At 46.4% G+C, this 23226-nt stretch overlaps 2 long non-coding RNA genes across 14 annotated transcripts, besides 6 other annotated features; one reads left to right on the forward strand and one right to left on the reverse strand.

Annotated features, from left to right (window-relative positions):
• Positions 1-4052: 4052 nt before the first annotated feature.
• LOC124902930 (uncharacterized) lies at positions 4053-18936 on the reverse strand. The gene is made up of 2 exons (XR_007063302.1): positions 18854-18936; positions 4053-6302 (listed from the first exon to the last, which is right to left on the reverse strand). It is a non-coding gene; the product is annotated as an uncharacterized LOC124902930 (long non-coding RNA).
• Positions 15061-16046: an enhancer, noted in NCBI's record as "H3K4me1 hESC enhancer chr12:50335615-50336600 (GRCh37/hg19 assembly coordinates)". NCBI's record gives its function as "activates a minimal SCP1, AML or CMV promoter by ChIP-STARR-seq in primed H9 embryonic stem cells {active_cell/tissue: H9 hESC(primed)}" and the evidence as "EXISTENCE:reporter gene assay evidence [ECO:0000049][PMID:30033119]".
• LOC105369763 (uncharacterized) lies at positions 16474-20152 on the forward strand. 13 transcript variants are annotated; one of them, XR_007063301.1, is made up of 6 exons: positions 16474-16560; positions 16678-16712; positions 17528-17708; positions 17915-18014; positions 18191-19544; positions 19737-20152. It is a non-coding gene; the product is annotated as an uncharacterized LOC105369763 (long non-coding RNA). The 13 variants fall into 13 exon arrangements; XR_944946.3 differs by having other exon boundaries at positions 16678-18065; positions 18191-18258; positions 18617-19544; XR_944948.3 differs by lacking the exon at positions 17915-18014 and having other exon boundaries at positions 16678-17708; positions 18191-18258; positions 18617-19544.
• Positions 18228-19104: an enhancer, noted in NCBI's record as "NANOG-H3K4me1 hESC enhancer chr12:50338782-50339658 (GRCh37/hg19 assembly coordinates)". NCBI's record gives its function as "activates a minimal SCP1, AML or CMV promoter by ChIP-STARR-seq in naive H9 embryonic stem cells {active_cell/tissue: H9 hESC(naive)}" and the evidence as "EXISTENCE:reporter gene assay evidence [ECO:0000049][PMID:30033119]".
• Positions 18228-19980: a biological region, named in NCBI's record as "NANOG-H3K4me1 hESC enhancers GRCh37_chr12:50338782-50339658 and GRCh37_chr12:50339659-50340534".
• Positions 18768-19008: a silencer, noted in NCBI's record as "fragment chr12:50339322-50339562 (GRCh37/hg19 assembly coordinates)". NCBI's record gives its function as "represses an EF-1alpha promoter that drives an FKBP-Casp9 reporter gene in an ReSE screen in K562 erythroleukemia cells {active_cell/tissue: K562}" and the evidence as "EXISTENCE:reporter gene assay evidence [ECO:0000049][PMID:32094911]".
• Positions 18835-19129: an enhancer, noted in NCBI's record as "tiled region #197; K562 Activating DNase unmatched - State 1:Tss". NCBI's record gives its function as "activates a minimal TATA promoter and a strong SV40 promoter by Sharpr-MPRA in K562 cells {active_cell/tissue: K562}" and the evidence as "EXISTENCE:reporter gene assay evidence [ECO:0000049][PMID:27701403]".
• Positions 19105-19980: an enhancer, noted in NCBI's record as "NANOG-H3K4me1 hESC enhancer chr12:50339659-50340534 (GRCh37/hg19 assembly coordinates)". NCBI's record gives its function as "activates a minimal SCP1, AML or CMV promoter by ChIP-STARR-seq in naive H9 embryonic stem cells {active_cell/tissue: H9 hESC(naive)}" and the evidence as "EXISTENCE:reporter gene assay evidence [ECO:0000049][PMID:30033119]".

Here is a 23226-nt window from a genome sequence, read left to right on the forward strand (position 1 = left end):
ATTTGCAAAGAAACTCATACTAATTAATATGAAAAAACAATTATTTTAATTGCTAATACTTAATGATCATTTACTATATGCTAGACACTATTTTAAGTATATGGATTATTTCATTTAATTCTCACAGTAAGTAACCCTATAAGGTAAGTGCTATTATTACTATCTCCATTTTATAGATGAGAACACTGAAGCAGTTTTTTCTAAAGATAGCTGCCTGGCACAGTGGCTCACATCTGTAGTCCCAGCATTTGGGGAGGCCAAGGCAGGTGGATCACTTGAGGCCAGGAATTCAAGACCAGCATGGCCAACATGGTAAAACCCCATCCCTACTAAAAATACAAAAATTAGCTGGGCGTGGTGGCACCTGTAATCCCAACTACTCAGGAGGCTGAGGCAGGAGAATTGCTTGAACCCAGAGGCGGAGGTTGCAGTGAGCCAAGATCACGCCACTGCACTCCAGCCTGGGCAACAGAGCAAGACTCCGTCTTGGGGAAAAAAATGCAAAAATTAGCCAGGCATGATAGTGGGCACATGTAATCCCAGCTACTTGGGAGGCTGAGGCAGGAGAATCGCTTGAACCTGGGAGGCATAGGTTGCAGTGAGCCAAGATTGCGATTGCACCACTGCACTCCAGCCTGAGTGACAGAGCAAGACTCCATCTCAAAAAAAAAAAAAAAGCCAAAGAATATATATTAGGTTGGTGCAAAAGTAATTGCAGTTTTTGCCAATACAAGTAGTTTACAGAAAGAGAAATATCAGTGGCCCATAAACATGTAGAAAGATGTTTAATAGCACTCATAATTCAAGAAATGCAAAATAAAACTAAAATTAAACATCACTTTTTCACCTTTCTGCTTGGCAAAAATGAAAACATTTGCCAATACTCAGGGATGGTGAGAAAAACTACTTATATAACTTATATAACTGTTCCTCTGTAGATTCTGAGTTCTATCCTAGTAACAGTTCATGTCACCAAAAAACTACACATTAGAACCACCTTAGCTTAGCTGCCCAGGAAAAATGCCTTCAGCCAAGTTCCATTTTAATGTTATACGCTTGGCATCTCTTGATGGTTGGCAGAAGAAATGACCACATGAAAAGCTGCATTTTTTTGTCCTGGAAAAACCACCACTAAAGGCATTGTAATCTACATTGAGTATATAAGGAAGGGCCCACACAATAAATTATCTGCAGTATTTACTACCAGGAAAGATTTACTTTCTCCTGAAGACCTGATGTGTTATTTTGCCATACGATGGTAATCATATAAACCTCTGTTTCTCGTTTCTCCTTGGCTGCTAAGAAGCTCAAAAATCACATCTGATGATCCACTCTAGTGACAACATAGCCAGGGCGATTGGCATCTGACTTCTCAACCCAACCTGACCTCATATTAGCTTTTTTCTTTTGTCTCCTCTCCCCTTCCATTAGTTTCTCTTCTTCCACTTGCTGTTTAGTTTTCTAATTCTAGCTTAACAAAATTATTATAAATGTGTGTTTTTGGAAGCTATTTCAAAATCTTTTGGAAGTAGATAGGATATGTTACAAATAGTCAAACTCCCTTAGTTTATAGATGAGAAAACTCAAGTTCTTTAGAAGTTAAATGACTTATTCCAGTGTTAATCAGCTTATATCTGTGTGCACATGTGACTCTCACTTTATTGTAAGTGTCTTAGAATTATATTTATCTCTGAGACTCTGGTGGCCAGCTTTGAGCCAAGTACATGGTAAATTGTCAATGTATATATATTGGTTGAAAAAATTCTAAGTGCTGTGAGGAAAGGGACATTTTTGCAGGGGATAAGGTCGTAGTAGGTGCTCATGAGAACTGAATTCACAACAGGGCGTGGCCTCAGCCTCTGGCCTCACCCCACCACACCCTAGCATCTCCACCACCCAGGAGTCTCAGGGCTGGGCTTCATGCAACCCATCTGCCCTACACCTGCCCGCACTCTGCCTTTGTCTCCACTATTCCACTTTGGCCCTCTTGCCTTGTCCAGTGAGTTTCCAAATATTTCTCTTTTTTTTTGAGACGGAGTCTTGCTCTGTCACCCAGGCTGGAGTGCAGTGTTGCGATCTCGGCTCACTGCAAGTTCCACCTCCTGGGTTCAAGTGATTCTCCTGCCTCAGCCTCCAGAGAAGCTGGGACTACAGGTGCCCGCCATCATGCCCGGCTAATTTTTTTTGTATTTTTAGTAGAGACGGGGGTTTCACTGTGTTAACCAGGATGGTCTCGATCTCCTGACCTCGTGATCTACCCGCCTCAGCCTCCGAAAGTGCTGGGATTAGAGGTGTGAGCCACCGTACCCAGCTGAGTTTCCAAATATTTCTGATTTCACCAGCGGGGGAAGACTGGCAGGCTCCTATATCCTCGAAGTATCCTGCCATGAGATGCCTGCAGAGTGGGGAATGGCATCACCTTTCCAACCCTGTGCAGCACCCAGTGCGAGCTGCTTATTAGTGGGAACTGGAGAGGAAGAGGAGGAAAAGGAGGACCCATGGCCATGGCTTTTTCTGTCCTTGTAACCCTCAACTGATATGTATCCCATACTTCTTGGTTGGGCAGAGGGGAGAGCAGAGGTTGACAGGTCACATTTCCCTCAGTTTTCCATCCTTCCTTCAGTGCTGGGAGAGAAAAGCATACGACATAGACAGGGAGGTCAAGCTCCACCACGCAGATGAGGTGCAGGCCACCAGTCTTCCTCTGCCACATCTCTTTCTGAAAAGGTAACCCTGCACCGCCTTCCCATTGGCTGCCACCTTGCATCCCCTACCCACAGCTCTCTACCTTGCTCTTCACCTGAGCTGCCTCTAGAAAGAGAGCTGAGGTCTGGGCAAAGCCTTCTGACAGGCTTTCTTGGGCAGGGGAGTTGGGGCGGAGGGATGAACGGTGGGAGGGAGAAGGACCAGATTTCCTGGCCTGACAGGCAGCCTGTGCTGAGAAACCATGACTGAGTAAGCCAAGCTTTGTTGGCCGCACCTGCCAAGCCACAGGGTGCCTCAGGCTTGGAGCATCCCGGAGCCAGTTACAACCCAAGACTTCAGCCTTCTGGAAGGTGTTGGGTCAGCCACCCTGAAGGACGATCCTGCCCAAGTGACATGCTTTGCTCTTCCTTCTCACCCAGGACTTCACATTCACCCTTGCAATCCATGTGGGGACACTGTTGGATAGGAGGCGTGGTCCCAGCGTGGTCTCCCTGTCTGGGCCTCTGCCTATGCCAAATGTTTGCCTTACGCTGCACACTCAAGAGGTTCCATGTATACAGATGGGAATTCCAGAGCTACAGAAAAGGCAGCAAGCACCATGATTTAAGCTAACCAGTGTGGATTCACACCTTCCTCTCTCTCTATCAGTGGCAGAACTACCAGCTAGAGTAAGAAGTGGTTGATCCAGGACCTAAACATTCTGGAAACTCTTGCCCACTTCTGGGAGAAATGACCCAATCCATAGTACTAAGCACACCTTAACTTTCGTAGGACGCAGGCAAGTTGTCATACCGTGTGCCTAAATATAGAAAAATGATCCACTGGACTAATAAAGTGTTAAATAAAATATGTCCTGACTGTCTACTTTGACAACATACTTTCATAATGACAAAACTTAAAAATGTATAAAGCTATGGTTTTTATATAGTTGAAAATTGACAAAACAGAAGACTAAATTTACTTATTATTGCACATGATGGGCGGGCTATGTTTGGTTGAGTAATAAATATATACATCATAATTTTTTTTTATTCAACAAAATTTGCTTTTCTTGCCTTTGTAATAGCAAAGCCACCAATTATGCAGTTATAATCACAATTTTATATAATTTTTGTCCTGTTGACAGTCATACTGAATTAGATAACTTTTTTTGAGTCATTATAGTTTTTAGTTTTTTATCAATTTCACTGTGGAGAAATTGTGAATTACACTCTGCGAAGGCTGGAAATTATCAATATAATTCTCAAAGCAATACTTGGATACAGAACTAAACCATGGATTTTATATGCCACGTACAAACTAAATAATGGGATGGTGTATGTTAAATTGTCACTCTCACAACAAAATTACAAAAATGTTTTTATTTCATCATACAAAGTGCTATCCTGTACATCATGAAAATTTCTTAAAGCAATATCAAACAAGTCTCAAGCTTTTTGAGGTTGGAACTCCTTTATACTCTTAAAAGTTACTGAGGACCCCAAAGACCCCTTTTGAGGACCCCTTTTGTTTATATAAATTATAACTATCAATTTTTGCCAAATTAGAAATTAAAACTGATAACTTTTAAAACCCAACACACAAGCACACATCCCATTAGTCATCAGAGTGATGGTGACATCACACACTGAGTAACTTCTGGAAAATTCCACTGTACACTCGTGAGAGAATTAGCCTGAAAAGGGCAAATGATATCTTAGCATTACAGGTTAGGTATCCCTTATCCAAAATGCTTGGGACCAGAAATGTTTTGGTTTTCAGATGTTTTCTTTGAATATTTGCACATATATCATGAGATATCTTGGGATGGGACCCAAGTCTAAACACAGAATTCACTTAGGCTTCATATACACCTAATACGCATGGCCCAAAGGTAATTTTATAAAATATTTTTGATAATTTTGAGCATGAAACAGTTTTGTCTGGATTGTGACTATGACTTGTCACATGAGGTCCTGTGTGGAATTTTCTACTTGTAGGGTCATGTTGAGTCTCAAACAGCTTGAGAATTTGGAGCATTTCAGTTTTTGGATTCTCAGGTTAGGGCTACACAACCTGTATTAGGAAAATGATTTTGACCCCCACAGACTCCTTAGAAGAGCTCAACAACTCCCAGGAATCCTCAGACCATACTTTGAGCACTGCTGCTGTAGAGTGATGGAAAGAACTGGTACCATGCTGCTACATGTTACGTCTAGACCTATAAACGTGCAAAAATATAAGAGTTAATGAGAATCATTCTTACAAAACAGTCCTCAAATGCCACATGCAGGTTTTGTGAATACTGCACTAACTCGTGTATGTCCAGGACCATGAATTGGAACAGGAAGAAATACAAGAATAGGGACACTTGGCATTTCTGGGAAAGGATACTTTGTTAGGTAGGAGTCTATTACATTCATTGGATCTGAGAAGAAAGCTTGGATGAGCTAATTCTGAATCCTTCCTGTGCCCTGCCCTGAAAGCAGTGTTGTCTCCCATGTGGCAGTTGTACAACCTACAAACCTTCCCAGCATTAGGGTTCCAGAGCTTTTGGCTTCGAGAACATAAGGTAAGAGGTGTGAAGAAGCATTTCCTTGGGGCCTGACTGGTGTTGGTCATGAGAGTGAATGTTTGGGTCCAGGCAGTGCTGTGTCCTGGGAGTCACTGGTCCGTCAGATGTCTCTGCTGTGGATATACGTGATATGGCAGAGCCCTCTAAAGCACTGGGCCAGAGCAGGAGCCCCCTGGCCTGCTTCTGAGTGCAGTGCTCCTGCATAGACTTTAGGACACAGAATCACAAAATCTCAGTCTCTGAAGGGACCTCGGTGGCCAGCCAGCCAGCCCACCACGCAGGTAGCAAATCTTCCACATGTGGTAGCAGAAGTGGTCTTGCTACGGAGGTAAGAAAGCTTAAGCTTCAGGGCCCGGCTTGCGTGGGCTCTTCTAGGACTTTGGAATAGGCCCTAGCCATGCATTCACATGGCCATATATTTTCGTATATTTTATAATTTTTATTTTTCTTAAAGAGCTCGCCGCAAGTTGTATAAGCTTCAGGAACCACACAACCCGAACCCACCTCTGCATAGCCAGGCTCTTCCTTGCCAGGCACTTCTCTTGAAGGAACATTGAGGTTTGAACCAGAAGAGCTGGATTTGAGCCACAGCTTTGTACGGACTAGCTATGTGACTTTGGAAATAATAACAACAGCTGACATTTATCAAGCTTTACTACATGTCAGTCACTGTGCTAAGCTTTTGCATGCTTCATTGCGTGTAAAATTCAGAAATGCCTTTCGACCTCTCAAAGTGTCAGTTTTCTCTTTTGTGCAATGAAAAGAACAACATCAATGTATATTTCCCGCCTCAGTTCTGTGCATGACCTGAGGGCGGGCCCTGCCTTAGTCACCACTGTGTCCCCATCACCCAGCCCAGTGTCTGGCCCCCAACTCAGTGATGTCGAGGAGGTATGCAAGTGCCTCATGGCTGTGCTGACAAAGGCAGTCATCACGTGCACTTTGGAGGCTGGCAGCTTAGTAGTGTGAGCTTGAAGGTCTTTTCTCCTGAGGTCAGAATCTCCACCATTTCCAAATCTAGAAACCTGGGTAAGTTGCTAACCTGTAAAAGGGAGTAATAACACTGGTAACTACCTCCTAGGACTGTTCGGAGGATGCAGTAGGTAATCTACCTAAAGCACCTAACACATGACACATAGAAAGTATTTAAGACATGGTAACTATTACTTACTAGGCAGGCAACTTCACTTTTGGACAGACAGATTTATTATAAAACACCTCCTACCTTGGCAAGGGCAAGGGCAAGGGCAAGGACCGTGTCTTGCCTAGATTCTTTTTTTTTTTTTTTTTTTTTTTTTTTTTTTGAAATGGGGTCCTGCTCTATCACCCAGGCTGGAGTGCAGTGGCACAATCTTGACTCCCTGCAACCTCTGCCCCCCGAGCTCAAGTGATCCTCCAGCCTCAGCCTCTTGAGTAGCTGGGATAACAGACCCACACCACCATGCCTGGCAAATTTTTTTATTTTTATTTATTTATTTATTTATTGGTAGAGACAGGGCTTTCACCATGTTGCCCAGGATGGTCTTGAACTCCTGAGCTCAAGTGATCCAGCCGCCTCAGCCTCCCAAAGTGCTGCGATTACAGGTGTGAGCCACAGCACCCAGCTAATTTCTCTTCTTTTTTAAAATATTTGTTTCCAAATTTACCATGATAACCATGAATTACTTTTTTATTGAATGTCTTAGTCCATTTTGTGTTGCTATAAAGGAATACCTGAGGCTGGGTAATTTATAAAGAAAAGAGGTTAATTTGGCTCATGGTTCTACAGGCTGTACAAGAATCATGGCACCAGCATCTACTTCTGGTGAGGGCCTCAGCCCACTTCCATTCATGGGGGAAGGCAAACAGGAGCTGGTGTGTCTGGAGATCACACGGGGAGAGACCAACTGAGAGGAGAGAGAGCCAGGCCCTTTTTAACAACCAGCTCTCGCAGGAACTAACAGACCAAGAACTCCCCGGTTACCGCACCAAGCCATTCATGAGGGATCTGCCACCGTGACTCAAACATCTCCCATTAGGCCTCACCTCCAACACTGGAGATCAAATTTCTTTAAAAAGAATTTTTTTTTTTCTTTTTAGTATCTTTTCTTCAGACCAGAGGGGATCAAATTTCAGCATGAGATTTGGAAGGGTCAAATATCCAAAGCATTGCACTGAGACAAAATTCATATAATGTAAAATTTACTCCTTTTGTTTTTTTGTTTTTTTGTTTTTTTGTTTTTGAGACTGAGTCTCACTCTTGTCACCCAGGCTGGAGTGCAGTGGCACGATCTTGGCTCACTGCAAGCTCCGCCTCCTGGGTTCAAGTGATTCTCCTGCCTCAGCCTCCCGAGTAGCTGGGATTTACAGGCATGTGTCACCACACCCGGCTAATTTTTGTATTTTTGGTAGGGACGAGGTTTCACCATGTTGGCCAGGCTGGTCTCGAACTCCTGACCTCAGGTGATCCGCCCACCTCGGTCTCCCAAAGTGTTGGGATTACAGGCGTGAGCCACTGCGCCCAACCACAAATGTACCCTTTTAAAGTGTAATTCAGTGGTCTTTAGTATATTCACAAAATTGTGCAACCATCACCACTACCTAATTCCAGAACATTTTCATCACCTCCAAAACAAACCCCACACCCATTAGCAATTATTTCCTGTTATTCCTCTCCCTGGCCCCTGCAACCACAACTCTACTTACTATCTCCGTGTATTTGCCTACTCAGGATATTTCATATAAATGGAATCATGAAATATGTGACCTTTTGTGATTGGCTTATTTCACTTAGCATAATGTCTTCAAGGCTCATCTATGTTATAACATGTGTCAGAATTTCCTTCCTTCTTAAAGCTAAATAATATTCCATTGTATGGACATACCACACTGTGTTTATCCATTCCTCTGTTGGTGGACACTTGAGTTGTTTCTCCCTTTTGGCCACTGTGAATAATGCTGCTATGAAAACTGGCATACAGTGATCTGCTTGAGCGTCTGTTTTCAGTTCTTTGGGGTACCCTAGTAGTGGAAGTGCAATACAGCAATTCTATATTTAGCTTTTTGAGAAAATACCACATTGTTTTCCACAGCAGCTGCACAATTTTACATCCCCGCCAGCAATGTATGAGGGTTGTGATGTCTTCACATCCCTGTCAATATTTGTTAGTGTCTGTTTTTATTATAGCCATGATAGTGGGTGTGAAGTAGTATCCTATCGTGGTTCTTATTTGCATTTTCCTAGTGACTAATGATGTTGAGCATCTTTTTATATGCTTATTATTATTAGCCATTTGTATCTATATTTTGGAAAAATAACTATTCACATCCTTTGCCCCTTTTTAAATTGAGTTGCGTTTTTATTGTTGTGTTGTAAGAGTTCCTTAGATATTTTGGAAACTAGATCTTTATCAGATATATGATTGGCTAATATCGCCTCCCATTCTATCAGTTGTTTTTTCATTTTCTCGATGGTGTCCTCTGAAGCACAAAAGTTTTAAATTTTGACGAAGTCCAATTTATCTTTTTTAACTTGTACTTTGGATGTCTGAATTGCCTAATTTGCCTAATTAAAGGTCGAAGAGACTTACCTCTATGTTTTCTGAGAATTTTATTATTTTTATTTATTTAATTTTTGTAGAGATGGCATCTCACTATGTTGCCCAGGTTGGTCCTGAACTCCTGGCCTCAAGTGATCCTCCTGCCTCAGTCTCCCAAAGTGTAGGGATTACAGGCATGAGCCACCAAGGTTGGCTGTGTTTTAGGAGAGTTTTAAGTTTTACCTCTTACACTTAGGTCTTTGGTCATTTTTAGTTAATTTTTGTTTAGGGGTCCAGATTCACTCTTTTGCATGTAGATATGCAGTTTCCCAGGATCATTTATTGAAAAGACTACTATTTCTCTTTTTTCCCATTACCCTGGCACCTTTGTTGAAAATCAATTGCCCCTAAATATATGGGTTTATTTCTAGACTATCAATTCTATTCCATTGATCTATGATATCTATCCTTATGCCAGTTACACACAGTCTTGATACAGAGTATGAATGTAGCTTTGTAGTAAGTTTTAAAATCAGGAGCCGGTGTGGTGGTGCACACCTCTAATCTCAGCTACTTAGAAGGCTGAGGTGGGAGGATCTCTTGAGCCCAGGAGTTTGAGACCAGCCTGAGCAACATAGCAAGACCCTGTCTCAAAAAAAAAAAATTAAATTAAAAATAAAAATAAATTCACGTATTTGAAAGTGGCAGAACCAGGTGTGACCCCAGGACCCTGCTATAAACAAAAGTTTTAAAATCAAAAAGTGTGATTCCTACAACTTCATTCTCCTTTTTCAAGATTGCTTTGGCCATTCTAAAGCACGAATTACTTGCATAGAAGGGAAAAAATATGTTGCTATTAACAAAATCCTGCATATTCATGTCATTCCAAACCAAATGCTATGTCCTCTAGGGAACTTTCCCCAGGCTCACCATTCGGAATATGCCTTCCTCTGGACATTTCGTTAGTATGCCTCTTATAGTGTCTTGTATTCAAATGAGGCTGCTGGGATCTCCAATCTTATTGGAAGGTAAGCTTGTTGAGGGCAGGGGTCTTGTTCACTTGAAAGTATTCCCCAGGCCAGGCACGGTGGCTCACGCCTATAACCTCAGCACTTTGGGAGGCCGAAGTGGGCGGATCACCTGAGGTCAGGGGCTCGAGACCAGCCTGGCCAACATGGCGAAACCCCATCTCTACTAAAAATACAAAATTAGCCAGGCATGGTGGTGCATACCTGTACTCCCAGCTACTCAGGAGGCTGAGGCAAGAGAATCACCTGAACCCAGGAGGCGAAGGTTGCAGTGAGCCAAGATCGCACCATTGCACTCCACCCTGGGGGACAGCCTGAGCGACAAGAGCGAAACTCCATCTCAAAAAAAAAAAAAAAGAAAAAGAAAAAAGAAAGAAAGAAAGTATTTCCCATGGCCCCTGGCATGGAGCCTAGGACTATGGTGGGGCTGAGGATTTGGTAAATGAATGAATGAGTGGATAACTAATGAATGCTATTGCGTCATTCACACCATTTCTATTCTGGTCAGAATCTAGGCAAACATCCTTAACAAAGAAGCACTTGGGAAATGCATTCATTAAATTAATGGTTACACCTTTATTGACAAGCATAGTCATGTGTTGTTTCACTGGAGGTTTCTTTGGTTTATTATAGTCATTATAATGCTCGTCAATAAGAGAAAAATGTGCCCAAATCACTTGAGGAATTATGTGTGAATTGCACACTCAGGCATTCCACAGCTAAGGCTCAGCCTCAATCAATACGGTAACCCAATGACAGGTTTTATCAAACATTGGATCCTGCTTAAGCTAGAAGATTTTTAGCCTTTGAATTAGCACTCTGAACAGGACTCTTAATTAATCTGCTAATGATTTTCTTTGTTTAGAGGGATAGTCCTAATTGATTCTAATATATGCTCCCAGAGATATATGCACTTATATATTCCCTTAAACAATCCTGACAAGAGAGCTAGAGTGTCATAGCCCCTGTCCTCAGGGAGGGCACAGTCCAGAATTGGAGGCAGCACACCCCACTATTTTGATTGGTGGGGTGAGTGCTAGGTCATATGGTGGGTCCAGAGAAGGAGTAAAGGATTCGTTCTGCCTGGGAGGCAAGGAGGTGTCAGGCCTCAGGCCACATCACACATTTGAACTGAGCTTGAAGCACGCCTAGGATTTGACCAGGTAGAGACAAGGGCTGGAGGGTTTCAGGCAGTTGGATAAAGTGTTCCAGGCAGAAGGAACAGCTAGAACGAAGGCATGTTCACAAGCACATACTTGTACCAATACACATACTCATACACTCAGCTGCATTCTTCACCCAAGAATTGGGCCAGTCCAAAACTGTCTGAAAGATGTTATTGTGTCCACCTGAGTCAGCTCACAGCTCCAAGGCCCACCAGGCCGTGGGTTGCAGCTGTCCTTTCCCCAGGAGGGCATTTAATATCTGCTGTCTCCTGCCTGCCTTACCACCAGTGCAGGCCCTCTCCCTGTCACCCGGTTGGACATTCCCCTCAGGGTCCTCACTCACTGCAACTGTGGCTCAAATCCCAGGAGGCTCTGTGTGACTGGGCCAGAGATTACTGGTCCTGGTGAAGCTTGGGTATTGCAAGAGGCAGAATTTTCCACCTCCCTGTGCTGGGGCCTTCGGCTGACCGGCCAAGCTGCAGCGGTGGGGAGGGAGGGCATCCACAGCACTGTGGATGGCTGATGGTGGTGTAATTTTGTCCAGTAGTCAATACATTGCTTAGAAACAGGCCCAAGGTGCTGTCTTCCATCATTCAAGATGAGTATTTATTGATCATTTAAATTTAACTTTTTTAAAATTTTAATTGAAGTATACAAACAGTTTAAAATGCACATGTCATTAGTGTGCAACCTGATGCATTTCCACCCACTGAACACACCTGTGTAACCAGAACCTGGTTCAGAAACAGAGCATGGCCAACATCTAGACTCTCCTTCCCCCGCCAGGTGCCACTTTCTCTAAGGGTGACCACTGTCCTGGCTTGTAACAGCATAGATCAATTTCTTCTGGTTTTGTACTTTACACAAATGGAATCATATAGTATGGACTCTTTTGGCACTTACTCTTGACAAACAGGTTGGTCAAAGACTCTGGAGAGAGAAGGCAAGGGGGTATTGAAAGACTGCCCTCATGAGGAATAGGAACCTATAAATGTAAAATGGAGTAAATCACATGTATGAGGGTCTCTGTGGTCCCCGGGAGAGTGGGGAAGGCAGGTGGCCTGGTAGAAAGTGCTCTGGTCCAGGAGTCAGGGACTTGTGCTCACATTTGATACGTCTCCATGGTTTGCTGTGCAACCTTGGGAAAAACTTCTTTCCCTCTCTGGACCTCAGGTACATCCCCTGCAGGGTTGGGGTGGATCATTTCCTACCTTTTCACCAGAAGAGACACTGTCTTTTATCTATCCCCACCTCCACTGCTGCCGTGGATGTCATGCTTTGAAAAATGTTTCTAGGCCAGGCGCAGTGGCTCACGCCTGTAATCCCAGCACTTTGGGAGGCCAAGATGAGCAGATCGTGAGCTCAGAAGTTCGAGACCAGCCTGGCCAACATGGAGAAACCCTGTCTCTACTAAAAATACAAAACTTAGCTAGGCATGGTGGCGCATGCCTGTAATCCCAGCTACTCAGGAGACTGAGGCAGGAGAACCATTTTAACCTGGGAGGCAGAGGTTGCAGTGAGCCGAGATTTCTCAAAAAAAAAAAAAAAAAAAGAAAGAAAGAAAAATGTTTCTGAGCAGAGTGTGAAGATTAATTTGTTTCCCCATTTCTTATTAACTGGAAGAAAGGCTCATAGAGCAGACTCAGATCTGCAACAGATAGCAAGCAGTGCCACCCTGGGTGGACAGAATTCCAGTCAAAAGCAGAGGCTCTTTCTGGCTGAGTTACTTGACTGCAGCCTCCTATCAGGGAAGTATTCAGAGCCTAGTGTACCCAGTGAGATATAGCAAATAGTTTGAGAACACTTAAACTATTGTGCAGCCCTGGGCCCTGGGCCTAGGAACCACTGAAAAGATAGAAAATCACTAACTTTCCTTCCAGCTCTGATAAGTCAAAGGTCTAGGGTCATCCACCTCTCCTCTCCAATTGACTGCAGAGTTGTGGGGTGTGAAACCCCTCTCCTGAGCTGGACCCCCAACCCCATCCTATGCCCTTCACCCCAGCAGGCCCTCTGCCCAGCCCATTGCTGGAGTCCTAGGGGACCCAGGGCTACCTCATGTTGCTCCGGGGGACTACTGGGAAACTGCTGATGGAACTTGAGTCAGTAGAACACTTGACCACTGCTCCCTACAGCTCCATGAAGCTCCCACCAGTCCAGGGAGAGAATCTCTACAGGAATGTGACCTGGCCCCCTGGGGCTCCTCCTCCTGCAGTCCTGGCTGCCCAGAGCTCAGGCTCCAGGGCCTCACTCCCCTCTGTGCACCCCTGAGAGTTCTCTGCTTTCTAGCCCTATTTCCATTTCTGTCCATGATCCTAGGATAGGGTGAAGTCTGCTTGGGGACATTAAACCCTCTGATGGGGAGCCAGAACCACACCCAGAATAAGTCAGAATCTGACTAGAGCTGAGAACAGGGAGGGAGAAAGCTTAGTGGGGAAGGACTTGGTGAAGGAGAGCGTCTCGGCCAGGCGCGGTGGCTCACACTTGTAATCCCAGCATTATGGGAAGCCGAGGCAGGCAGATCACCTAAGGTCAGGAGTTCGAGACCCACTTGGCCAACATGGCGAAACCCCATCTCTACTAAAAATACAAAAATTAGCCGGGCATGGTGGTGCGTGCCTGTAATCCCAGCTACTCATGAGGCTGAGGCAGGAGAATCACTTGAACCCAGGAGGTGGAGGTTGCGGTGAGCTGAGATCACACCACTGCACTCCAGCCTGGGTGACAGAGTGAGACTCTGTCTCAAAAAAAAAAAAAAAAAGATTGCTTCTTGGAGAAGGGAACTCATGGATGGATGCAGATGAAGAGGCCAGAGCTCTAGGGAATGAGGGTGTCCCAGGCAGGGATGTTGCAGCTGGGACAGTCTCCATGCAGTATTCTGGGCAGTATGAGGGTGTGCAGGGGACCCAAGAGGTCACCTCTGGAGGAATGAAGTAGCCAGAAGTTCCCTAGGGTAATGAGGTGGGCAGGGGTGGCATGCGATGAGTCTGTTGAGAATTTGGAACTTGGTATCAAGACACTCAGGAGCCTTGGTTGGATATTTAGACATGCCTGGGGCAGATAACTGAATGGCCAAGGATGGACAGCCCATCGGTCCAGCATCTGATCCATTTTCACTGTCTTCAAGGCAGGTGGCAGGTCTTTGCACAGTGAGATGTGAAGTGGATTGAGGGGTGAGGCCAGTGGTGTCACCTTGGGATGAAGAAATGCTTGCCCACTAGTCCATCAGGATAGGCTTCTTGAAAGAGTAGCAATTTCGGGAACAATGTGACAGGTGAGACAGAGGGTTTGGTTATAGGAAACGGTTATTGAGCATGTGCTGTGGGCTGGTGCAGCTCTAGAAAATAAGGGTGAAGAGTGGTGACCCCTGCCCTGATCATGCCATTGCACTCCAGCCTGGGCAATAAGAGCGAAACTCCATCTCAAAAAAAAAAAAAAAAAAAAAACCCATAAAATGTTTTTCAGGTTCATTAGTGTTGTAGCAAGCATCAGTATTTCTTTCCTTTTTATGAATGAATAATATTTCACTGTGTGGCTATAGCATAATTTGTTTATAGATTGATGGACATTTAAATTGTTTCTACTTTTTGGCTATTGTGAATAATGTTGCTAAGAACATGTGTGTACAAGTTACTGTCTGAACACCTGATTCCAATTCTAGGAGTGGAATTGTGGGATCACATGTTAACTCTGTGTTTAACTTTTTAAGCAACAGCCTGTACTTCTAATTGCATTACTTAAATTCAAGCAGTGGTGGTGAGACAGGGGTAAAGATGACATCTGAGAGTACATACTGTTATTTTTCAATATTTACAATTTCTTTTCATCTCTTTTTCTGAAAGTTGTTTAAAGTGGAGGAGAATAAGCTGAGACGGGCCATCATCTAGTAAACTGCCCCATAGGCCGAATAAACTCCTTTGTACTGTAAGCCCCAGCAGGCCAGGGATCTTTGTCAGTTTCAATTCCTGACATATTTCAAGTTTAGAACAGTGAATGGCATATGGTTGGTGCTCAGCACATGGCTGGTGCTCAATAAATATTTGTTGCATGAATAAATAAATACAATGAACTGCCTCAAGTGTGCTAAAATCTCAAGAAAACAGACGTCCATCAAGTAGAACCAGAGGAGAATGGGCCGACTTTGTAGCCAGAAGTGCATGGTTAGATATGGTAAAGGACTTCCCAGAGCTATGGGGCCCTCAGCCCTTGGGGAAGCCTCAACTTCTTCTTTTAACACCAGCCATGTGCAGGTAATTTTACATATGTTTATACGGAAGCTCTGAGAGGCTGTGGATTCCACAGCCAGGCAGCCTAGACGGTGGAACCTGAATCCACCCCAGGCTGCTGGTCATGCAGGCCTTGCTCCCACTGTGGGGACAGTGGTCCCTCCATCCCAAGGCCAACGCTCAGCCCTAAGAAGGCCTGGGGTGAGGTCAGCCCAAGGGTACCCAAGGGGCCCTCAGAAGAGCCGTGGAAAATACATGGTGCGGCCAGAGGAGGAAGGAAGGATGGCAGCAGAGCATGCAAATTGGAAGCTGATATCGAATTGCAGCAAAATGAGCAGAGGATTAGATGCCCCACCTGGACCCACCCCAGAGAATACCAAGGCTTGGGCCGGCCCTTGTGAGAAGCTGGCAGGCCCAGTCCCAGGTGGAAGCCTGGCCCCTGGCCCGATGAGCAGGGGCGATGAGGCAGGGTGGCTGATCCCAGGCAGGAAGACACCACTGATTTGGGTGAGGCCCTCCTTCCTGAGCCCTCCACCCTCAGCCTGGGCATCCCACACTCATAGAGCTCCTCCTGGTTCTGGGGAAGGAGCAGGATTAGAGCCAAGCTGAGACCCTATCCCAAGTTCCTGCCTTCAGAGAGTGCAGGGGAGACGGGGATAGGAACACATCCAAATGCCCAGGATTCTGAGGGGGTTGGGGGAAGGGGAAGCTGCCTTGACTGAGTAAGTCAGAGAAGGCTTCCTGGAGGAGAGCGAAGGGTGTGGGGCTGGGTTGAGATACAGGAAGATCTGGGTTTGAATTATAGTTTGGCTGCTTCCTAGCTGTTTGATCTTGGACAAAACTTTCATTCATTCTATATTTTTTGGAGTGTCTACTCCATGCCAATCATGTGTGAAATGTTGGGATAACAAAGGCGAATTCAATCTGGCTCTCGTCCTCGGAGCTTAAGCAAATCATCTGGGGTAGCGTGACCCATGCTACGATGGAGGTGGAATACGGGGCTGCAGGGCGGGGCCACAGGACATAGTGGGCAGCTTAACCTCCTTGAGCCTCCCTATCCCTAATTCACGTGATGGGGTTTGTAACCACTTCTCACATCGTTGAGAGAAAAGGGTGAGCCTGACTCAGAGGTGTGGCAAAGGAAGGGCAGGGCAGGCTTTAAGGACAGGGACAGGGCTGTCAGAGGCTGAGGCTAGGGAGGGGCAGGAAGGGGTGTGAGGCAGGGCGGAAGAGAGCAGGGCCCTGGGCAGGTGCTGAGCCAGGTCCTGCAGGTCACCCAGTCGCTTGAGTCCACGAATGCTGGAGGCAGGCACTGGAGAGCCAGGGTGGTTCAGCCGCAGCTCCTCTGAGCAGGGAGTCAAACAGGTTTGGGTGACCCTTGTGAGCAAGGTCCCGGGGCATCACTAATTTCCACCCCCTTCTCTGGTAATGACTCTGGTGCGGCCTGGCCCTGGCAGTCACAGCTCCTCTCTCTCCCTATAGGGCTGAAACAGACACCAGCTCTCCAGGACCAGCTGGTAAGAGCTTCTCCACTGCCCCCGAGCCCTGACAGGAGGACTCCCACAGTGTGCATGGAAGCCCAGGGAGCTCGGGGGCTACAGAGGCACCATTGGCTCTGGAGCCTGCAGCCCAGACAGCCCCCTCCAGATGTAATGGGGGAAGGAGCCAGGGACTGGGAGGAATTCAGAGGTCAGAGGAGGAGCAGTATCAGGAGATACTGCCCTCCTGCAACTCCTCCTCCCAGCTGCTCTCCCCTCCTGCTAGTGCCCACAATGGCTCCCAGCTGCCTCCTATAAGGAAGCTTTATTAGCCTGCAGCCTGTACTCCTCCACGCAGCAGAGCTGACAGGACCCCATTAGTCAGCTTATTCAACCCTTCCCCTGGTGCACAAACCCTTGCCAAGCTTTTCTGGCATTTTGCTCAGCCTGCTTGGACCCTCCAAGCAGGTAGGAACTCACTGTTTCACAAAGCAGTGTTATTAGAAAGGTTTCCCTGACCCTAGCCCCCCACATCTAATCTTTCTCAAATGTGGGCAGACTTGTTCCTGGCCCCTTCTCATTCCACCAGTGCACACATGCACATGCTCCCTCTCTCCATCCAAGCTCCAGGAATCAACCTCTACCCTGAACCAGGTCCCTGAGGACCACCACGTGGCTGCAACACAGCAGGTGTGGGGCAGGGCACAAGTGGGCTTAAGGGGGGTATAAGGGCTGGCAGTTTGCTCATTGATTCACTCAACAAACATGTACTGAGCACCTCTAAAGGGCCAGGGCCTGTGCTAGGCACTGCGGTGCCATGGTGAGCAAATCCAGAAATGGACCCTGCCCTCTAGGAGTTCACAGTCCAGAGGAGAAGCCCGATGCTGAACAGAGAATCACATCCGTGAGCAACACAAAAGGCAAGGCAAACCCTGGGCAGATGCCCCCGGGACTGTGTGTTATGGGCCTACAGGAAGCCTCTCCCAATGAAAAAGCAATTTTTCAGCCAGAACCTCCACCAGTGTCTTTCAAACTGTGAGTGGCAACCCATTTGTGGGTCATAAAATCAATTTAGTAGTTGTGACCTGAATTACTTGTTAGTGAAATAGAGAGGAATTTACAACATCACACTTAGGAAATACTGTTTTGTGAAATGTTAGTTTCAGTTATCTATCTATCTATCTGTCTGTCTGAGAGATCATGTTTATTAGTTAAGATATTAAATGTATTTCTTACTGCAGGTCTCAATCAAAAACCTCTGAAAGCCACTGGCCTAGAGTTAGAGGAAGAGTTAGCCATGAGAAATGGTGGTGACACAGGTTCCAAAAGAAGAAACAATAGGTATCAGGCTCAGAGATGAAAGGGCTAGAAGGAGGACACACCAAGTTCAAGGTCTGGCCTTTCTCGAGGGCAGTGGGGAGCCATGGGAGGTTAGCAAGATCCCATCTTCTTCATCCCTGGGCCTCACCCCATGGGCAGGAGGGAAATGGCAGGAAGTTGTCTTTGTGTCTCCCCAGGAGCCTGGACCTGTGGCCTTCCCTGCCTCCACCTGGGCCTCAACCGTCACGACCACCTGGCCTTTGAGGTAGGGTTTGGAGAAGGAAGTCAGCCTATTATCAGGAGAAGGCTTGAATTTCTATATTCATAGCTTGTTTCTGTCACTTACTAGCCTTGTGATCATGGGCAACTTGTCTAATCTCTGTCCCTCAGTTTCCTCCTTTGTAAAATAGGTCTCATAGAACTCATCCCCAAAAGTCCTTGTGAAGATTTAGTTTGTAAGCCAGATGTCTGCAGACCTCCAGTAAAAGAATATGTTTTTGGTATTAGTATGTATGTCCCAAATATTGCTTGGAATATGCTTATACAAACAAAAATCATTTGTTTTTTATCTGAAATTCAAATTTACCTGGATGTCCTGTATTTTATCTGGAAACCCTACACAGAAATCAAATGGCTCACGCTGTGTCTCAGAGCTGCAACGATCCAACGCCCTCCATCCTTCAGAGGCTGTCTGAGTCCGGGGACACAACTCCCACCCTCCTCTCCTGCCAGCCGCGGCCCGTGGCTGCTCTCTTCACTTCGTCCCGCTTCGCCCCGACTGTGGATCTACCCGCTCCCTTCTCCCTCAGTCCCCAAAGCACCAGACTCACAGGCCTGCTGTGTGACCCACTTTTACCGACCTTTCGGGGAGAGTAGAGGGCATTTGTGACTCAGCTCAGAGCAGGAAACACATCTCACGTCAACTGTCAGACAGCGCTGCTCCGAATCCCATCACAGTGCTCCAGCAGGGGGCGTCCTCACCGGCCGCGGCCACAGCCACGGCTCAACCCGGCCTAGCTCCCAGACACCCTCCTTCCACCGCCTGTTTTCCACCGTCCCCGCCTGCTCTTTCAAGCCAGCAGCAAACAACACCCTAATCCGTGTCTTTATTATTCAAAGACCTTAAGCACTCTTTCCCACCTCGTTCCCATCTTGATTATTTCAGGGAATGAATTAGGGATTCACCTTTACAATCAAAAAAGTTCTCTCAAAGCCAGGCTACTGGAGTTCTAATTCTGCCTTCCCACTTTTACTAGCTGTGAAATCTCAGGAAAGTTACTTAACCTCTCTCTGTCTCATTTTCCTCATCTTTAAAAAACAGGATGATAATATTTAGCTCCTAAGATGGTTGTGAGGATTTAAGTGAGCTGATATATCCAAGAATGTCTAGAACAGCGCGTGGCAGAATGGGCATTGCATATGGGTTTAATCTTGTAACTGCCATGTTTCACCAATTCTAAGGTGTATCTCGTTTCTCATCATAAGAGCTCTTCCGCTCGTGTGGCAGCTGGGAGTGGCCGTCATTGCCTGCGCATACCTAAACTTGGTCAGGTGAGTTCCGTGCCTTCAGCTTAATTGCTGTTTAAAATGTCTTCAAAAAGGTTACACTGTGGTTTAGCATTTAAACCCAGTTACTGTGTATGCAGAAAGGCGGGCAAACAGAAGAGTGTAGCAAGAATTTTATATTAGTGAAGCAGTTATCATTGAAGAATGACCACAGTTTCATATTTTCTTGCAAAACAGCAGCCAAGTGTTTTGTGAGACCTAAGAAAGGAAGAGCCCCATAAGTAAATGGAACTGTTGTGTTGTTTTATTACCGAGAAAAGGGCAGAATGATTGCTAGTCACACGTGAAGCAAGAAAACCCCGGCAATAAAGCTTGCAGAATGAGTGGCTGAGGCTTGAAAATAAATGGTGGAAACAATAGTGGACAATCTTTTAAAGAATGGCACATTGCCAATGCTCCTGATGGCACAGAAGGTGACACCATGCAGAAAATCAAGGCTCTGAGTCAAAGAGGGTTTCAGAAAAATTGGACTCTGAATGTGAAGAAATCTGGGGACTATTTTAGCCAATTTGTTTTGCCTATAATTTCCTTTTATGCATGCAAAAGAGCAATTCTGACTTTAAAGACTGATATCTAAATAAATCTAAAATATCTTTTTTGTGTGTGTGTCTGTGATACAGTGTCTCGCCCTTTCACCCAGGCTGGAGTGCAGTAGTGCAATCTCAGCTCACTGCAACTTCTGCCTCCCAGTCTCAAGCAATCCTCCCACATCAGCCGGACTACAGGTGCACACCACCATGCCTAGCTAATTTTTTGTGAGTATTTTTTGTAAAGATAGGGTTTCACCATGTTGCCAGACTGGTCTCAAACTCCTGGGCTCAAGTGATCCGCCCACCTTGGCCTCTCAAAGTGCTGGGATTACAGGCATGAGCCACCAAGCCCAGCCTATAAAATACGCATAACATAAAATTTACCATCTTAACTTTTTTTTTTTTTTTGAGACGGATTTTCGCTCTTGTTGCCCAGGCTGGAGTGCAGTGGCATGATCTCAGCTCACTGCAACCTCCACCTCCTGGGTTCAAGTGATTCTCCTGCCTCAGCCTCCGAGTAGCTGGGATTACAGGCATGTGCCACCACACCCAGCTAATTTTGTATTTTTAGTAGAGATGGTGTTTCTCCATGTTGGTCAGGCTGGTCTCAAACTTCCGACCTCAGGTGATCCACCCACCTCGGCCTCCCAAAGTGCTGGGATTACAGGCGTGAGCCACCACGCCTGGCCCTCATCTTAACCATTTTTAAGTGCACAGTTCAGTGGCATTAAGCACATTCACATTGCTGTGAATTCATCAGCAATTTTTGTCATGTTCTAATTAATAGTGCATGATAGATGCATAGACTTCCTAAGAAACAGTGTAGTGGCCATTGTAGAAAAAATGCAGCCATCCCTGCAGGTGAGCAGAGCTGCCAGCCAGAAGCACAGCCAAGCCCCGCCAGCTTTGATGAGAACACCTTCTTCCTCCCTGGCATGAAGGGAAAGTCAAATGCAAACACAGGCATGAGCCGTGTCATCGTTGGCCCCTTCCCCTCCTCCCAGACTAGGGGCCAGATCAGAATGTGAGTCCTGACTACTATTGTAAGCTGTGCGGCAGGTCATACTCTCTCTGGAATTCATGTTCTCATCATGGAAACTGAAATCCACAGGCAAGATGATCTCTAAGATCCCATTAGCTTCTAAATGTATGATTGTGTAACTGAACAACCACACAAGACACACACCACAAACATATGCAAATTCGGGTTGGGTCTTTGTGGGCTCCAAGGAGAAGCTGTCACACCTATCCTGGTGTATTGGGAAGCAAGAGATTTTTACCCGACTGGGTTAGGAGTGGTTCTTCCCAGAATCAAGGGTCAGTAGGCCACTCTGTCAAGATCGTGAATACCTTGACCAAAGGAGAGACCAGAAAGGGTGTGTGGCCCATCCGAGAGCACACAGCAACTAAATGGTTGGGTGTGGATTTAGAAGCCACTGTCACAGCTTCAGTTCACATGAGGCCCAAGGAGAAGGTTTTCCAGGAACCCCTGAGACTCAGTCCTGAACTTGGCCAGTTGGGGTGGACAGTATATCCGAAGGTCAGGAGAAGTGATACATGAAACCACAAAAGAAAGGAGTAGGCCAGGCACGGTGGCTCACGCCTGTAATCCCAGCACTTTGGGAGGTCGAGGCAGGTGGATCACAAGGTCAGGAGTTTGAGACCAGCCTGGCCAATATGGTGAAATCCCATGTCTACTAAAAAAAAATACAAAAAGTAGTCGGGCATGGTGGCATGTGCCTGTAATCCCAGCTACTCAGGAAGCTGAGGCGACAGAATTGCTTGAACCTGGGAGGTGGAAGTTGCAGTGAGCTGAGCCACTGCACTCCAGCAGTGGGGAAGGCATGTTCCCTGGGTGGGGGCAGAGGCACACCCCAGCCAGACCCCTCTGAGTCCTTGTCTCTTCCTATGTGCAGAGTCTGGAGGTGGGCCCCAGATGCCCTTTATATGACAGGGGTTGGGGTCCCCCTCTCCGTCGATCTTCTCCCGGAGGACCCAGAATGCCTGAAGTTGGGAGGGATGGCTGAGGGAAGAGTGCCAGGGCACCAGGTGTCTATGTGTCAGGCCAGGAGTTAGGCACTGGAAATACACAGGAGAACAAACCCCACAGGAATCCCTGCTCTTTTGGAACATCACTTCTGTATGGGTAATTTTTATTCTTTCTTCCTCCCCTTCCTCTTCCGCTTTCTCTTCCTCCTCCTTCATAATAGCAGGAGTCACGAGTCCCCATATATATATGTATATGATACATTCTCAGTTGCAAAATACCTTCCCGTTCATTATCTTACTGCATTCTCAAAACAACTTTATGGGGTAGGCATCCACACTCCCATTGTCCAGACAAGGAAACTGAGGCGCAGAATGTGGCTCGGTAGTGTGGGGTGTGGCAGAAAGCTCCAGACCAGGCTCCAGTCCCAGCTCAGCCACTAACCTGCTGGAGCACCCTAGATAAGTCACTCCCCTCCCTGGGCCTATACTCACCCCTCCTGCCCACCCCACATCCCCATGATACAACACAAAGCGCTCCACTCCAGTCTCCAATCTCTCCCAGATTTCTGTTCCTGCGACTGTGACTTGCCCAGGGACCTGCTGGACAGGAGCTAGGGCAGGGTGCAGAAGCCCGTCCTTCTGTCCCCACTCTGAGCCTGACCCTGCTGTGAATCCCCAGGAGAGGGAGCGAGGCTGGAGGGATTAGGGAAGGGCCAGTGAGTGGGGCTGGGGAAACTTCTAGACTTGAACGCCTCCAGGACCCCAGTGGCCACAGCAGCACTGATAGCAGGAGGCAGCACTGCCCAGATGCTGAGCTGAGTGGGCACCAAGGCCAGAGAGCTGCTTATCAGGCATCACAGCCGCCCCGAGCCTGCACAGCTCACTGCCCCACAGAAATGTCTTTCTCCTGTGGCCAGAGCGGCCCTGAGCTCCTCAGGGTTTCTAGGACCTGTCACAGCTTCTGGGACCCCAACAAATGAGTGTGCAAAGACCTGTTCTCCTCAAAGTGCAAATAATACTGTAAGTAAGGGCTGATATTCATTGACCACCTACTGTGGACGAGGCGCTGCTCTGAGCACTTGACATACATTGTTTCATTCAATCCAAACCCCAATCCACTAGGTCAGTTTTATTCTCCCCATTTTACA

This window comes from Homo sapiens, chromosome 12 (assembly GCF_000001405.40).
Source record: "Homo sapiens chromosome 12, GRCh38.p14 Primary Assembly".
Classification (NCBI taxonomy): Eukaryota; Metazoa; Chordata; class Mammalia; order Primates; family Hominidae; genus Homo; species Homo sapiens.